The sequence below is a fragment of the Homo sapiens genome, chromosome 3, assembly GCF_000001405.40.
Source record: "Homo sapiens chromosome 3, GRCh38.p14 Primary Assembly".
Classification (NCBI taxonomy): domain Eukaryota; kingdom Metazoa; phylum Chordata; class Mammalia; order Primates; family Hominidae; genus Homo; species Homo sapiens.
Window position 1 is genome coordinate 32,006,839 of NC_000003.12, and position 18,241 is coordinate 32,025,079.

General features: G+C 40.3%; 1 protein-coding gene across 4 annotated transcripts in view; it reads right to left on the reverse strand.

The window, feature by feature from the left end:
* Positions 1 to 18,241, reverse strand: part of OSBPL10 (oxysterol binding protein like 10) — a 416,868-nt gene that overhangs the window by 346,014 nt on the left and 52,613 nt on the right. The gene's annotated exons all lie outside the window — the stretch shown is intronic.

Below are 18,241 nucleotides of genomic sequence, written 5' to 3' on the forward strand. Positions count from 1 at the left end.
TGGGAGTCTAGTCGTCCTTCTTGCCTTTCCTTTATGAAAATGAACCTATTCATGGATATTTCCTCTTCTATAGACATTTTATTTATTTTTATTTTTTCATTTCTATTTTTGTAGAGATGTGGTCTCACTATGTGGCCCAGGCTGATCTCAAACTCCTAGCTTCAAGTAATCCTCCCACCTCATCCTCCTAAAGTGCTGGGATTACAGATGTGAGCCACTGAGCCCAGCCAACAAACATAATTAAATTTGTAAATTCAAAGGTGTACATTTTGACATATAGTACTTGGAATCCATTTAGAATATATAAAATATTCTCTTTAGGCATGATGAAATTTTTGTTTTTATGTCCATATGCTTTGCCTCAGATATTCTAGTTCTTGGAATTTGTCCTACAAATATAATTGTCCAAGTGGGTAAAGTTATATTTATTTTAAACATTTATTGTAAACATCCTAAATGTTCATCAGTAAAAGAACTATATGTTTCCTGTGGCTGCTATAACAAACTACCCCAAACTTGTTTTAAGCAAACTTATTTTGCTGAAAACATAATAAATGTATTCTTTCACCATTCTGGAAGCCAGAAGTCTGAAATCAGTATCACTGGTCCAAAATCAAGGTGCCAGCAGGGCCACACTTCCTCTGGAGGCTCAAAAAGAGACTCCATCTCTTGTGTCTTCCAGCTCCTGGTGACTGCCCACATTTCTTAGCTTGTAACCTCCATGCTCCAATCTCAACCTCTGTCTTCTCACTTTTTCTGTATATGTCAAAGTTCCCTCTGCCTCTCTCTTATACGGACACTAATGATTGCATTTAGCACCTCCCCACACCCCCTCTCAATCATACAGGATGATCTCCCCTTCTCAAAATTCTTTCTTTTTTTTTTGAGACAGAGTTTTGCTCTTGTTGCCCAGGCTAGAGTGCAATGGCACCATCTCAGCTCACTGCAACCTCCATCTCCCGAGTTCAAGCGATTCTCCTGCCTCAGCCTCCCGAGTAGCTGGGATTACAGGTGCCCGCGACCACCCTGGCTAATTTTGTATTTTTAGTAGAGACAGGGTTTCTCCATGTTGGCCAGGCTGATCTCAAACTCCTGACCTCAGGTGATCCGCCCACCTCAGCCTCCCAAAGTGCTGGGATTACAGGCATGAGCCACTGCGCCCAGCCTCAAAATTCTTAAACACATCTGTAAAGATCATTTCTTTAAATAGGGTAACATGTACAGGTTCCAGGGATTATGATGTAGACAGTGTAGACATTTGGGGGCCATTACTCAGCCTATTACGGGAATGATTTAATTTAAAATTATTGTATATCCCTACAATGAAATGTTTTTATCATTTTTTTTTTTTTTGAGACAAGTCTCGCCGTGTTGCCCAGGCTGGAGTGCAGTGGCGCTCCACCTCCCAGGTTCAAGCAATTCTCCTGCTTCAGCCTCCTGAGTAGTTGGGATTACAGGTGCCCGCCACAATGCTCAGCTAATTTTTGTTTTTTTAGTAAAGACATGGTTTCACCATGTTGGCCAGGCTGGTCTCAAACTCCTGACATCAAGTGATGCACCCGCCTTGGCTTCCTACAGTGCTGGGATTACAGGTGTGAGCCACCGCGTCCAGCCTGAAATATTTTTCCATCATTAAAAAGAATGAACTTTGAGAGGCCAAGGTGGGCAGATTACTTGAGCCCAGGAGTTCAAGACCAGCCTGGGCAACATGGCCAAACCCCGTTTCTACAAAAAAAAAAAGACAAAAAAAAACCCACAAAAGCTAGCAGAGAGTGGTGTCGCATGCCTGCAGTCCTGGCTACTGGGGAGGCTGAAGTGAGAGGATCGCTTAAGCCCAGGCAGTCGAGGCTGCGGTAAGGCAAGATTGCACTACTACACTCCACCACACTCCAGCCTGGGAGACAGAGTGAGATCCTGACTGGAAAAAAAAAAAAAAAAAGAAGAACAAAAAAAGAAGGATGAAATGGAAGTACATATATTTACATGAAAACATGTCAAAGACATACTGTTAAGAGATTTTTTAAAAGTAAATTTCAGAGCAATAGTTATAGTATTACCCTAAAGTATAATTTACATACATTATGCAAGTGCTTACATATATTTTTTAAAATGTGTCTGAATAGACACAGAACAACAGTTATCTCTGGAGAATGCAACTGGGGATGAGCCAGGAAGACGAGATAATTTACTCTTTGTACTTTTCTATACTGTTTATGTTTTTTAAAATCATGAACAGGTTTGTGTTTTTACAGTCACTGTAAAGTGTTTTTGTTATAAAATATTCTCTAGCCCTCCTGCCTAAAGTGACCCTAGTCCTGCTAAGTAGGAACTCTTGGCTTTCCCCAGTGATCCTTTTTGCAGAACAATAAAGGAATCCTTTTCCAAGGCCCTGTGAAGGTCTGTAGTTGTCCTCTTTCACCACCTGTTGTTGAACTTGCAGTCGTAAGTCATAATGGGGATAGGGAAAGAAGCTAATGAATCAGCCTTCAAAGTGAGCAAACACATGAGCCATTCAATTAATCACGCATGAGTCTTCAAATCCATGTCCACATCAGGCTTTGTCTCTCACTAGTTGGGGAAACTTGAGCAAGTCACTTAAACTCTCAGGTGTCCTTATCTATAAAATGATACAGTCTTCCACACAGGGCTACAAGGAGGAATAAATGAAACAATGCATTTCCAAGTTAAGTGCTTGGACTGAGCTGAATCTAATCTTCTCAAGTGTGAATGAATTCATTGGTGAAATTTAAGATGGGGAAAAAGCAAGGATGATATTATATATAAAATCAGATTTGAATTAGCAGCAGCACTGCAGTTGAATAAGCCCTGCACCACATGAGAAGTTCTGGGTTCCAATATGGACGGATGCGAGGTAGTCCTCACACAAGCTGCTTCCCCATCTTGGGCCCAAGTTTCAATAACTGAAAAATAATGGCACTGAAATAGACCTCTAGGGTCTCTTCTGGCTCTCACATTCTATAATTCTGGGGGCTTAGACATGATTTATGATCGTGCTTGTCAGTCATGTCTCTGCGAGTATTTCTAGAAAATGCTTTATGGCCTTGAGGCTAAACTATTGAAGCATTCGTTATAGGCTGAATTGTTTCCCCCAGTGCCTCAGATTCATATGCTGAATCCCTAACTCCCAATGTGACTGTATTTGGAGACAGGATCTTTGCAAAGGCATTTAAGCTTAAATGAAGTTGTAACGGTAGGGCCCTAATCTAACAGGACTTGTATTCTCATAAGAAGAGTCAAAGAGGAAGTCTCTCTGAGCCTACTCAACCTCAGGAGGCTGCCCATTTTTTTTTTTTTAAGAGGAAGAGAGACAGAAATGCAGGTGCACAGAGGAAAGGGCATGAGAACGCATAGTGGGGCCAGAGCCATCTGTAAGCCAAGGAGAGAGGCTGCAGGAGAAACCAAGACTGCCAGTGCCTTGTTCTTGGATCTCCAGCCTCTAGAACTATGAGAAAATAAATTTCTGTTGTTTAAGCCTCTCAGTCTACAGTATTTTTTCATGGCAGCCCTAGCAGACTAATACAGGATTCAAAAGCCAGTTGTGGTAGGAGGTTCACTAGAGAATGTCCAAGAGATTTCAAGGAATAAAAGTTAAAAGGGGGGGCAGTTCCAAGATGGCCGAACAGGAACAGCTCCAGTCTACAGCTCCCAGCATGAGCAATGCAGAATATGAATGATTTCTGCATTTCCAACTGAGGTACTGGGTTCATCTCACTGGGGATTGTCGGACAGTGGGTGCAGAACAGTGGGTGCAGCGCACTGAGCATGAGCCGAAGCAGGGCGAGGCATCACTTCACCCAGGAAGTGCAAGGGGTCAGGGAATTCCCTTTCCTAGCCAAGGAACAGGGTGACAGATGGCACCTGGAAAATCAGGTCACTCCCACCCTAATACTGCGATTTTCCGACAGTCTTAGCAAATAGCACACCAGGAGATTACATCCCGTGCCTGGCTCAGAGGGTCCTGTGCCCATGGAGCCTCACTCATTGCTAGCACAGCAGTCTGAGACCAAACTGCAAGGTGGCAGCGAGGCTGGAGGAGGGGCGCCCCCCATTGGTGAGGCTTGAGTAGGTAAACAAAGCGGCCAGGAAGCTCAAACTGGTTGGAGCCCACCGCAGCTCAAGGAGGCCTGCCTGCCTCTGTAGACTCCACCTCTGGGGGCAAGGCATAGCCAAACAAAAGGCAGCAGAAACCTCTGCAGACTTAAATGTCCCTGTCTGACAGCTTTGAAGAGAGTAGTGGTTCTCCCAGCACGCAGCTTGAGATCTGAGAACAGGCAGACTGCCTCCTCAAGTGGGTCCCTGACCCCCGAGTAGCCTAACTGGGAGGCACCCCCCAGTAGGGGCAGACTGACACCTCACACAGCCGGGTACTCCTCTGAGACAAAACTTCCAGAGGAACAATCAGGCAGCAATATTTGCTGTTCAGCAATATTCACTGTTCTTCAGCCTCCGCTGCTGATACCCAGGCAAACAGGGTCTGGAGTGGACCTCCAGCAAACTCCAACAGACCTGCAGCTGAGGGTCCTGACTGTTAGAAGGAAAACTAACAAACAGAAAGGACATCCACACCAAAACCCCATCTGTACGTCACCATCATCAAAGACCAAAAGTAGATAAAACCACAAAGATGGGGAAAAAACAGAGCAGAGAAACTGAAAATTCTGAAAATCAGAGAGCCTCTCCTCCTCCAAAGGAATGCAGCTCCTCACCAGCAATGGAACAAAGCTGGACGGAGAATGACTTTGACAAGTTGAGAGAAGAAGGCTTCAGACGATCAAACTTCTCTGAGCTAAAGGAGAAAGTTCGAACCCATGGCAGAGAAGTTAAAAACCTTGAAAAAAGATTAGATGAATGGCTAACTAGAATAATAACCAATGCAGAGAAGTCCTTAAAGGACCTCATGGAGCTGAAAACCATGGCACGAGAACTACGTGATGAATGCACAAGCTTCAGTAGCCGATTTGATCAACTGGAAGAAAGGTTATCAGTGATGGAAGATCAAATGAATGAAATGAAGCGAGAAGAGAAGTCAGAAAAAAAAGAATAAAAAGAAATGAACAAAGCCTCCAAGAAATATGGGACTATGTGAAAAGACCGAATCTACATCTGATTGGTGTACCTGAAAGTGACGGGGAGAATGCAACAAAGTTGGAAAACACTCTGCAGGATATTATCCAGGAAAACTTCCCCAATCTAGCAAGGCAGGCCAACATTCAAATTCAGGAAATACAGAGAATGCCACAAAGATACTCCTTGGGAAGAGCAACTCCAAGACACATAATTGTCAGATTCACCAAAGTTGAAACAAAGGAAAAAATGTTAAAGGCAGCCAGAGAGAAAGGTCGGGTTACCACAAAGGGAAGCCCATCAGACTAACAGCTGATCTCTCGGCAGAAACTCTACAAGCCAGAAGAGAGTGGGGGCCAATATTCAACATTCTTAAAGAAAAGAATTTTCAACCCAGAATTTCATATCCAGCCAAACTAAGCTTCATAAGTGAAGGAGAAATAAAATACTTTACAGACAAGCAAATGTTGAGACATTTTGTCACCACCAGGCCTGCCCTACAAGAGCTCCTGAAGGAAGCACTAAACATGGAAAGGAACAACCAGTATCAGCCACTGCAAAAACATGCCAAATTGTAAAGTCCATCGATGCTAGGAAGAAACTGCATCAACTAACGAGCAAAATAACCAGCTAACATCATAATGACAGGATTAAATTCACACATAACAATGTTAACCTTAAATGTAAATGGGCTAAATGCTCCAATTAAAAGACACAGACTGGCAAATTGGATCAAGAGTCAAGACCCATCAGTGTGCTGTATTCAGGAAACCTATCTCACGTGCAGAGACACACTTAGGCTCAAAATAAAGGGATGGAGAAAGATCTACCAAGCAAATGGAAAACAAAAAAAGGCAGGGGTTGCAATCCTAGTCTCTGATAAAACAGACTTTAAACCAACAAAGATCAAAAGAGACCAAGAAGGCCATTACATAATGGTAAAGGGATCAATTCAACAAGAAGAGCTAACTATCCTAAATATATATGCACCCAATACAGGAGCACCCAGATTCATAAAGCAAGTCCTTAGAGACCTACAAAGAGACTTAAGACTCCCACACAATAATAATGGGAGACTTTAACACCCCACTGTCAACATTAAACAGATCAACGAGGCAGAAAGTTAACAAGGATATCCAGGAATTGAACTCAGCTCTGCACCAAGCGGACCTAATAGACATCTACAGAACTCTCCACCCCAAATCAACAGAATATACATTCTTCTCAGCACCACACTGCACTTATTCCAAAATTGACCACATAGTTGGAAGTAAAGCACTCCTCAGCAAATGTAAAAGAACAGAAATTATAACAAACTGTCCCTCAGACCACGGTGCAAACAAACTAGAACTCAGGATTAAGAAACTCACTCAAAACCATTCAACTACATGGAAACTGAACAACCTGCTCCTGAATGGCTACTGCATACATAACGAAATGAAGGCAGAAATAAAGATGTTCTTTGAAACCAACGAGAACAAAGACACAACATACCAGAATCTCTGGGACACATTTAAAGCAGTGTGTAGAGGGAAATTTACAGCACTAAATGCCCACAAGAGAAAGCAGGAAAGATCTAAAATTGACACCCTAACATCACAATTAAAAGAACTAGAGAAGCAAGAGTAATCACATTCAAAAGCTAGCAGAAGGCAAGAAATAACTAAGATCAGAGCAGAACTGAAGGAGATAGAGACACAAAAAACCCTTCAAAAATTCAATGAATCCAGGAGCTGGTTTTTTGAAAAGATCAACAAAATTGATAGACTGCTAGCAAGACTAATAAAGAAGAAAAGAGAGAAGAATGAAATAGATGCAATAAAAAATGATAAAGTGGATATCACCACTGATCCCACAGAAATACAAACTACCATCAGAGAATACTATAAACACCTCTATGCAAATAAACTTGAAAATCTAGAAGAAATGGATAAATTCCTCGACACATACACCCTCCCAAGACTAAACCAGGAAGAAGTAGAATCTCTGAATAGACCAATAACAGGCACTGAAATTGAGGCAATAATTAATAGCTTAGCAACCAAAAAAAGTACAGGACCAGATGGATTCACAGCCGAATTCTACCAGAGGTACAAGGAGGAGCTGGTACCATTCCTTCTGAAACTATTCCAATCAATAGAAAAAGAGAGAATCCTCACTAACTCATTTTATGAGGCCAGCATCATCCTGATACCAAAGCCTGGCAGACACACAACAAAAAAAGAGAATTTTAGACCAATATCCCTGATGAATAACAATGCAAAAATCCTCAATAAAATACTGGCAAACTGAATCCAGCAGCACATCAAAAAGCTTATCCACCATGATCAAGTGGGCTTCATCCCTGGGATGCAACGCTGGTTCAACATATGCAAATCAATAAACGTAATCCAGCATATAAACAGAACCAATGACAAAAAGTACATGATTATCTCAATAGATGCAGAAAAGGCCTTTGACAAAATTCAACAGTCCTTCATGCTAAAAACTCTCAATAAATTAGGTATCGATGGGATGTATCTTAAAATAATAAGAGCTATCTATGACAAACCCACAGCCAATATCATACTGAATGGGCAAAAACTGGAAGCATTCCCTTTGAAAACTGGCACAAGACAGGGATGCCCTCTCTCACCACTCCTATTCAACATAGTGTTGGAAGTTCTGGCCAGGGCAATCAGGCAGGAAAAGGAAATAAAGGGTATTCAATTAGGAAAAGAGGAAGTCAAATTGTCCCTGTTTGCAGATGACATGACTGTATATCTAGAAAACCCCTTGGTCTCAGCCCAAAATCTCCATAAGCTGATAAGCAACTTCAGCAAAGTCTCATGATACAAAATCCATGTGTAAAAATCACAAGCATTTTATACACCAATAACAGACAAACAGAGATCCAAATCATGAGTGAACTCCCATTCACAATTGCTTCAAAGAGAATAAAATACCTAGGAATCCAACTTACAAGGGATGTGAAGGACCTCTTCAAGGAGAACTACAAACCACTGCTCAAGGAAATAAAAGAGGATACAAACAAATGGAAGAACATTTCCTGCTCATGGATAGGAAGAATCAATATCGTGAAAATGGCCATACTGCCCAAGGTAATTTATAGATTCAATGCCATCCCCATCAAGCTACCAATGACTTTCTTCACACAATTGGAAAAAACCACTTTAAAGTTCATATGGAACCAAAAAAGAGCCTGCATTGCTAAGTCAATCCTAAGCCAAAAGAACAAAGCTGGAGGCATCACACTACCTGACTTCAAACTATACTACAAGGCTACAGTAACCAAAACAGCATGGTACTGGTACCAAAACAGAGATATAGACCAATGGAACAGAATAGAGCCCTCAGAAATAATGCCACATATCTACAACTATCTGATCTTTGACAAACCTGACAATAATAAGAAATGGGGAAATGATTCCCTATTTAGTAAATGGTGCAGGGAAAACTGGCTAGCCATACATAGAAAGCTGAAACTGGATCCCTTCCTTACACCTTATACAAAAATTAATTCAAGATGGATGGATTAAAGACTTAAATGTTAGACCTAAAACCATAAAAACTCTAGAAGAAAACCTGGGCAATACCATTCAGGACATAGGCATAGGCAAGGACTTCATGTCTAAAACACCAAAAGCAATGGCAACAAAAGCCAAAATTGACAAATGGAATCTAATTAAACTAAAGAGCTTCTGCACAGCAAAAGAAACTACCATCAGAGTGAACAGGCAACCTACAGAATGGGAGAAAATGTTTGCAATCTACTCATCTTACAAAGGGCTAATATCCAGAACCTACAATGAACTCCAACAAATTTACAAGAAAAAAACAACCCCATCAACAAGTGGGCGAAGGATATGAACAGACACTTCTCAAAAGAAGATATTTATGCAGCCAAAAGACACTTGAAAAAATACTCGTCATCACTGGCCATCAGAGAAATGCAAATCAAAACCACAATGAGATACCATCTCACACAGTTAGAATGGCGATCATTAAAAAGTCAGGGAACAACAGGTGCTGGAGAGGATGTGGAGAAATAGGAACACTTTTACACTGTTGGTGGGACTGTAAACTAGTTCAACCATTGTGGAAGTCAGTGTGGTGATTCCTCAGGGATCTAGAACTAGAAATACCATTTGACCCAGCCATTCCATTACTGGGTATATACCCAAAGGATTATAAATCATGCTGCTATAGAGACACATGCACACGTATGTTTATTGCAGCACTATTCACAACAGCAAAGATTTGGAACCAAGCCAAATGTCCAACAATGATAGACTGGATTAAGAAAATGTGGCACATATACACCATGGAATACTATGCAGCTATAAAAAATGATGAGTTCATGTCCTTTGCAGGGACATGGATGAAGCTGGAAACCATCATTCTCAGCAAACCCTCGCAAGGACAAAAAACCAAACACCGCATGTTCTCACTCATAGGTGGGAATTGAACAATGAGAACACATGGACACAGGAAGGGGAACATCACACACTGGGGCCTGTTGTGGGGTTGGGGGAATGGGGAGGGATAGCGTTAGGAGATATACCTAATGTAAACGACAAGTTAATGGGTGCAGCACACCAACATGGCACGTGTATACATATGTAACAAACCTGTACGTTGTGCACATGTACCCTAAAACTTAAAGTATAATTTAGAAAAAAATAAAAGGGTTTTTCCTGGCATCATAAAAGCTTTATATCGATGTTCTCTCTTGCTGCTTTTGGTAATTAGAATAGGTTGTCAAAAAGCTAGAGCAATTGTTGATAGTCTCAAGTTTTAATGCTCTCAATAAATAGTTCAGTTTGGGAGGCAGAATTAAAATGGGACAGTGGAATGCCAGAGAGTTTGGAGTGATCTGGACCAGGATTAAACATCGCATTAGCAGAGTGATCCTGGACCAGGTACTTAATCTGTCTGCATATGAGTATTCTGAAACCTAAATGAGAGACCGTATGTAAAGACCTGGCACCCACATGGCACATTCTTGGTAGCTATTATCTTCATGTGATAATGAAAAGTCTTTACTCCTTATTTCCTTGAAAATATCATTACTTTGGAAAGAAGCTAATGTTTTATAATAAAGTGTTTTCTAGACTAAATTTTTTAGTTCAAAGTTTTGCCCTTTAAGAGATCTGAACTTCCATTAGAACGTGGGAAGAGGGCTGATCACAGCATGCATTTATTGAACTCTGACTTGTATGCCAAACACATATTAATTTCTTATGAATGATTTCATTTGAGCTTCTGGAAACGCTACGAGGCAAATAGCATTGTTTTTCCCATTTTAAAGATGAGGAAATAACTTTCAAAGAAGTTAAAAAGCTTTCCAAAGTTCCAACAGCTAAAAACACCAGCTGTTTGATCCGAAGACCATCTTCTTAGCTATACTGGTCTCAGAATCTAGGTACCTTTTATCAAGCTACACATTTTTACTCTACCAAGTAGTTTTTATTTTGAATCTTCAAACAGAACTGTACTGGATTTTATCATTGGTTTACAGATAAGGAAGCTGATGCTTAAATAACTTACCTAATATGGTTTGGCAAGTGGCTGAGCTGAGATTCAAAAAAAAAAAAATTCATTTTCTCTTAATCTACTGTTTGGTCTGTTTGGGCCCAGGGTTCTGTGTCTTCACAGCTCTACCCTACCACTTCCAAACTGTGCTTAGTAGACTGCACAAAGCCCCGGAAAGTACACTAAACTGGAATCCAAGAGACCTGGGTTTTATTGTTCGCTGTGTTACCAATGAACTATGTGACATCAGTTAAGCCATTTCACTTCTCTGAGCCTCAGTTTTGTCATTTGCTGAAATAATTTGAATTAGGTCACTTTTAATTCTTTTGGCTTTAAGTTTCTATAATCCCAGGTGAATTGTGAACAATCACATTCATTGTGTCACTAAACTTAAAGAAATAAAATGTCAGCCAGGCGCAGTGGCTCATGCCTGTAATCCCAGCACTTTGAGAGGCCGAGGCAGGCAGATCACTTGAGGTCAGGAGTTCGAGACCAGCCTGGCCAACATGGTGAAACCCCGTCTCTACTAAAAATACAAAATTAGCTGGGCTTGGTGGCGGGCGCCTGTAATCCCAGCTACTCAGGGGGCTGAGGCAGGAGAATCACTTGAACCTGGGAGGCGGAAGTTGCAGTGAGCCCAGATGGTGCCATTGCACTCCAACCTGGGCAACAAGAGTAAAACTCCATCTCAATAAATAAATAAATAAATAAATAAATAAATAAATAAATAAATAAAATGTCAAAAATTATGAAATAATTACAGGGACAAATGTGATTGTTAAACTATGATGGTAAAGAAGTTTGATCCCAACCTTTCAGAAACCAGCTTTTTAGAAGGATTGGTGCAATGATAGACGAGATGTGGGAACAAAGCTCAGACTGAGTATCTGTGATCTCAGACAAGTGTTTATTCTTCCTCTGATTTAGTTTGCTTTATGGTTGAATGGAGATAATTCTAATGCCTGTATGTTTGCTTTAAGAAGACTTCTTGCCAGATATTAAAATAGATGAGAAACCAGAGCATAGAAGGGAAAACCAGAGCATAAAAGGGAAACCACACTGGAAAAAAGTTTACAATAAAAATGCTGTAAAAATGCAAGACACGGGTGAGGTCATGTGTGCCTGTAGTTCCAGCTACTCGGGAGGCTGAGGTGGGAAGATCATTTGAGCCCAGGAGCTCAAGGCCACAGTGAGCTATGATCACACCACTGCCCTCCAGCCTGGGCAGCAACACAGCAAGACTCTGTCCTAAGGAAAAAAATGCAAGACATTATATTTGAAGACATCAGTGGCTGAATTTGGAGTCTGGCCAACTGTGTCCATTAAACACACCAAAAGAAAAAAAGGTAGTGTTTTTGTGTGATCACACTGGAAATAATTGAATACAAACAGGCAAAAATCAAAAGGAAGCAAAAGAACTCAGCAATGAAAAGATAAGAACAAGAAGTGAAAGAAGAAAAAAATTAAAATGAGTAGATAAGGTGGAGGAAAGATTCACAAGGGAGAAATGAGAAAAATGAAGAGGACCAGGAGTGGGAAGAAATGAAAAAAGAGGAAAAAAGGAAAAAAAGGTAATTTCTGAAATTGCAATCTCCACCAACGGCCTAAGCTACTCTTGATTTTGAAGGCTGTGCAATCATCACATTCCAGTTTTAGAACATCAACATCACCCACCCCCCCAAATTCCCTTGAATTAATTTCCACAATTGGAGCTCTCCAAAATCCACAGTAGTTTGAGGAACAAGGGAGTGGGGGTGATGTCGTTTAACAAAGTCCGAAGTTGTTCTCCTATTCAGCCACCAGGGGGTAATACATTCCATTCAATTCAAAAAGCATATTTAGGGAAGTTTACCAAGTGCTCCATACTCTAGAGGCTACCCCATGAAAAAAAATAAGGCATCATTCCTTACATTCAAGTGCAATCAATAATATATTTATGCAAGTAATGATGATTCAAGAAGAAATGAACTATTAAATCACATTAGAGCTAAGTCTTATGGCTGAATGGGAATTTATAATAAGCAGAGACGTGTGGTAGGAGGAAGATTCTGAAGAGAGGAGTATAATGGGAAGAAAGATCGGTGCCAATGTTTAAGTAAACTTGTATTACAGTTGGAAGAGAAAGCATCTTCTTAAGTCTGTTTTCATATGTTCAACATCCACAGACTAGTTAATGGGTATTGGCCTCATTTGTAAATATCTAACTAAAAATGAATTTTTTTAAAAAAGATTCAACACAATTTTTAATGATGCAATTATAAAAAATTATTAACTCTGTTTCTTCGCAATAAGAAGGGTAAAATTGTTTGCAGTCTTTCATTGTGTTATCTTTATTTGGCTCCATGATCAATAGCTTCAACTATAGTCTATTTCCTCATCGAGTTAGTTTCTTTGTTCTTTATTTCTACTACACTGGAACATATAAAGTATAACTATCAATCTTTGACTATTGTGGTGAGGGTGCTGCTCTGATGGGTGGTTCTAGATATGTGGATCAAACACGAACCCTGAATTTGCGGAGGGATTTCTCTCCCAGTTCCACTCACAGTGCTCTGTAGAAGCCGAGTCAATGAGCCTACAATGCAAAACACCAGAAGTCTGGATGCTTAATCCACTCTTTGGGTACAATTTGTTCTGATAGTGAATTTTCATAGTTTGTTGCAGCATTTGATTTTTATGTTTTGTTCCTGTTATTTTCTATAGCTTTGTTAAAATTTATATGCCATAAATTCACCCATTGTAAGTATACAATTCATGACTTTTAGAATCTGTATAGTTGTACAATCGTCACCACATTCCAATTTTAGAACCCTGCCCAATTTCCTTTAGCCCATTTGCAGACATACTCCACTTCCATATCCAGCTCCAGGTTAGCCTGATCTGCTTTCTCTTTCTCTAAATTTGCCCTCTCTGGACATTTCATGTCATACTATATGTAGTCTTCTGCACTTAGCTTTTTTCATTTAGCATAATGTTTTCAAGGTTCATCTATGTTGTAGCATGTATCAGTACTATATCATTCCTTTTTATTTCTAAATAGAATTCCATTGTATGGGCATACTACATTTGTTTATCAATTCATTAATTAATTGACATTTGGATTCTTTCCAGTTTTCAAATAATGCTGCTATGAGTAATTGCGTACAAGTCTTTGTGATGGACATAAAAGACAAAATGTGCTGAGCAATTAAGGAGATGATTTCATTCAAGCTTTTATAATAGGCAAAATGTTCATTAATGAAAAACATCTCCAGGAGAAAAAAAAAAAAGAAGACCTGGGATTTTATAGAAGCGGGTAAGCAAGAGAGCCACCAGTGAGTCTTATAGGAGTCCTAAGGAATGATGGCAGGAAATATGCAAGAGCAAGGTGGTTGTGTTAGTCCGCTAGGACTGCCATAATGAAATACCACAGACTGGGTGGCTTAAACAACAAAACTCGTATTTTCTCAGAGTTCTGGAGGCTGGATGTCTAAGATCAAGGTGTCAGTAGAGTTGGTTTCTGCCATGGACTCTCTTTTTGGCTTGCAGATGGCTGCCTCTTGCTGTGTCCTCACTTGGACTTTCCTGTGTGTACGTGCTTTCCTGATATTGCTTCCTCTTCTCATTAAAACACCAGTTCTGTTGGATTGGAGCCCCATCCTCATTACCTCATTTAACCTTAATTACCTCTTTAAAAGCCCTGTGTCCAAGTATAATCACATTCTGAGGTGTACTGTGGGTTAAGACCTCAATATATGAATTGGGGCGTGGGTGGGACATAATTAAGTCCATAACAGTGATTCTTTGTGGGTAGTCTTTCTTACAAATACAAAAGTGTGGGTATTTTCTCCGCGTTGCTGCTTTCCAGGAGCACAGGCTCAAATAAAGTTCAACGTCATGAGGACAGATGTTATCATTTCTCTTGTGTATATTCCTAGAACTGGAATTACTGGGTTACGTTTAACATTTTAAGAAGCCATTTGCCAACATATCTGCACCGTTTTAACTTCCCACCAATAATATTAAAGGATTCCAGTTTCTCCACTCCCTTACGCTCATGAATGCTTTCTTTTTTATTTCAGCCATTCTGGTAAAAGTAAATGGATATTTCATTGTGGTTTTAATTTATATTTCTCTAGTGATTAATGATGTTGAACACCTTTTTCATGTACTTGTTAACCATTTGTATATCTTCTTTAGTGAAATATCTCTTCAAATCCATTGCCCATTTAGGAGTTTTAAAAATATATTCTAGGCTGGGTATGATGGCTCACACCTGTAATTCTAGCATTTTGGGAGGCTGAGGTGGGCAGATAGCTTGAGCCCAGGAGTTTGAGACCAGCATGGGCAACATAAGCAAAACTCCATCTCTACAAAAAAATACCAAAAAAATTAGCTGGGCATGGTGGTGCATGACTGTAGTCTCAGCTACTAGGGAGGCTGAGGTGGGAGGATCACCTGAGCCTGAAGAGGTTGAAGCTGCAGTGAGTCATGGTCGTGCTACTGCACTCCAGCCTGGGCAACAGGAGATAATCTGTCTCGAAAAAAAAAAAAGTAAAACAAAATATGTATATTCTAGATATAAGTCGTTTGTCAGGTACATGATTTGCAAATCTTATTACCCAGTCTGTTTAACTTGTCTTTTCATTTTGTTAGTGGTGTTTTTTGAAGAGCTGAAGTTTTCAACTATAATGAAGTCCAGCTTATCTATTTTTTCTGAAGTGTTGCATATAGATATGCAGTTGTCCCAGCACCATTTTGTTATGGAACCGAACTGGGGTCTCTCACTTGGTGCAGCAAAGCCAAACACTGACATTGGGATTTGCAGCAAGAGAAAGTGAGGCATGTATTGCAGGGCACCAAACAGGGAGAATTGGGCAGCTCATACTTAAGACCCAAACTCCCAGATGGTTTACAGGTAAGGGTTTTTTAGGATGGCGAGGCAGTTACAGGCAAAGTCATAAATCAATACATGGAGGCTACACATTGGTTTGACCTAAAAAGGTGGGACATCTTGAAGTAGAGGCCCATAGGTCATAGGTGGATTCAAAGATTTTCTGATTTGAGGCCTGGCATGGTGGCTCACGCCTGTAATCCCAGCATTTTGGAAGGCTGAGGCGGATGGATTGCTTGAGCTCAGGAGTTTGAGACTAGCTTAGGCAATGTGGTGAAACCCCATCTCTACAAAAATACACAAATTAGTTAGGCATGGTGGCTGGCACCTTGACTATTTGGGAGGCTGAGGTGGGAGGATCACTTGAGCCCGGGAGGCAGAGGTTGCAGTGAGCCAAGATTGCACACACTGCACTCCAGCCTGGGTGACAGAGCAAGATGCTGCAAAAAAAAAAAATTCTGATTTGCGATTAAAGGACACAAAGCTTTGTCTAAAAATTTGGGATCAGCAGAAAAGAACGTTAATTCTGGCCTGGGAGTGTGACTTCTGCCAGACTGCCTAGGAAGACATCTAAAACAAATAGCGGTGGTCAGAGTTCAGTCCTCAAGTCCCTCATATTTGACATCTGTGTGCCAGTGGATCTGTTTGGTGGAGGTCTGGGTTTCTGAAAAACAACTCAGGTACATATGTTAAGATATCTTTAGTTTCTATAGGGAATCAAACATCTCCTGACTTTAGCTTCTGTGGCTCCTGTTTTAAGCTACTATTAACTTCTTGCTTATCAAGTTGTTCATTTACTTTTCAAGGCTAGTGATATGGTTTGGCTGTGATCCATCCAAAACTCATCTTGAATTGTAGCTCCCATAATTCCCACGTGTCCTGGGAGGGACCCAATGGGAGGTAATTGAATCATGGGGGCGAGTCTCTCCCTTGCTGTATTTGTGATAGTGAATAAGTCTCACAGGATCTCATGGTCTTATAAGGGGGAGTTTCCCAGAACATGCCCTCTTGCCTGCTGCCATGTAAGATGTCCGTGTGCTCTTCCTTTATCTTCCGCCACAATTGTGAGGCCTCCCCAGCCATGTGAAACTGTGAGTCCATTAAACCTCTTTCCTTTATAAATTACCCTGTCTCAGGTATGCCTTTATTAGCGGTGTGAAGACTGACTAATACAGCTAGATAGGTGCCCAGAATGTCCCTTGAAGGAACTCAAGACTTTTCTTTATTTCCATGCTTGGGCCACCCACAAGCCCCTAAAAGAACCCCCTGCTCCATCTCAATTTGTTGAAAAGACTATACTTCCCCTACAAAATTGTCTTAGAACCGCTGGTGAAAATTAATTTAATATAGTTTATTGCTGCATTCTCAGTCCTGCTTCATTGCCTTACAATAGTTTCTTCTCATCGGCAAGGGATATATTCCAAGACCCCTCAGTGGATACCTGAAACTGCAGATAGTACAGAACCCTATACATTCTATGTTTTTTTCTATACTGGCATTTCCTATATATGTAAACTTTATGGTAAAGTTTAATTTATAAATTAGGCACAGTAAGAGACTAACAACAATAATAATAAGTGGGCCAATTACAAGAGCATACTATAATAAGAATCTTAAACCGATAAACTGTTTATTTCTGGGATTTTCCACTTAATATTTTTGGGCTACAGTAGACCATGGGTAACTGCAGAAATTGAAACCACAGAAAAGAGAGGCCTACTGTACATGCCTATGCTTATCCAATACCCTAATATCACACTGTCTTGATTACTGTCGTTTTAATGGTAAATTTTGACATTGAGTTGTATAAGTTCTCCAGTGTCATTCTTCCTTCTCAAAACAGTTTGGGCTCTGCAAGGTCCTTGGTATTTCCATATAAATTTTATGATCAGCTTATCAATTGCTACAAAAAAATAGCCTGCTTGGGATTTTGAGAAGAATTCTGTTGAATGTAAATCAATTTAGGGAAAATCACCCTTTAACAAAGTTGAGTCTTCCAACCCATCACATGATGTTTATTTATATCTTCTTTAATTTCTCTCAGCAATATTTTCAATATTTTGTTGTTTTCAGTGTATATATCTAGCACTACTTTTGATCATTTTTTCCTAAGTATTTTGTTCCTTTTGATTTTATTTACGTATTGTGAATGGAATTTTTTTTTTTTTTTTTTTTTGAGACAAAGTCTCACTCTTGTCCCTCAGGCTGGAGTGCGATGGCATGATCTCGGCTCACTGCAACCTCCACCTCCCAGGTTCAAGTCCTGCCTCAGCCCCCCCAGTAGCTGGGATTACACGCGCCTGCCACCATGCTAGGCGAATTTTTGTATTTTTAGTAGAGACAGGGTTTTACCATGTTGGCCAGGCTGGTCTAGAACTCCTGACCACCTGCCTCGGCCTCCCAAAGTGCTGGGATTACAGGCATGAGCTACCGTGCCCGGCCGGAATTATTTTCTTAATTTCATCTTTGAATAGTTTGTTGCTAGAACATGGAAATATAATTAGCTTTGTATATTGCTTTTGTCTCTTGCAACATTGCTAATTTATTAGTTCTAGATTTGTGTTTTTGTGAATTTCTTCCAATTTTCTACATAAAGGATTATATCATCTGTGAATTTAAAAAGTCCTACTTCTCTTTTGCAACATGGATGTCTTTTTTATTTTTGGCCTCATTATACTGGCTAGAACCTCCAGTATATAGCTGAACAGAAGTGGTGGGAGTAGACAGTCTCACCTTGTTCATGATCTT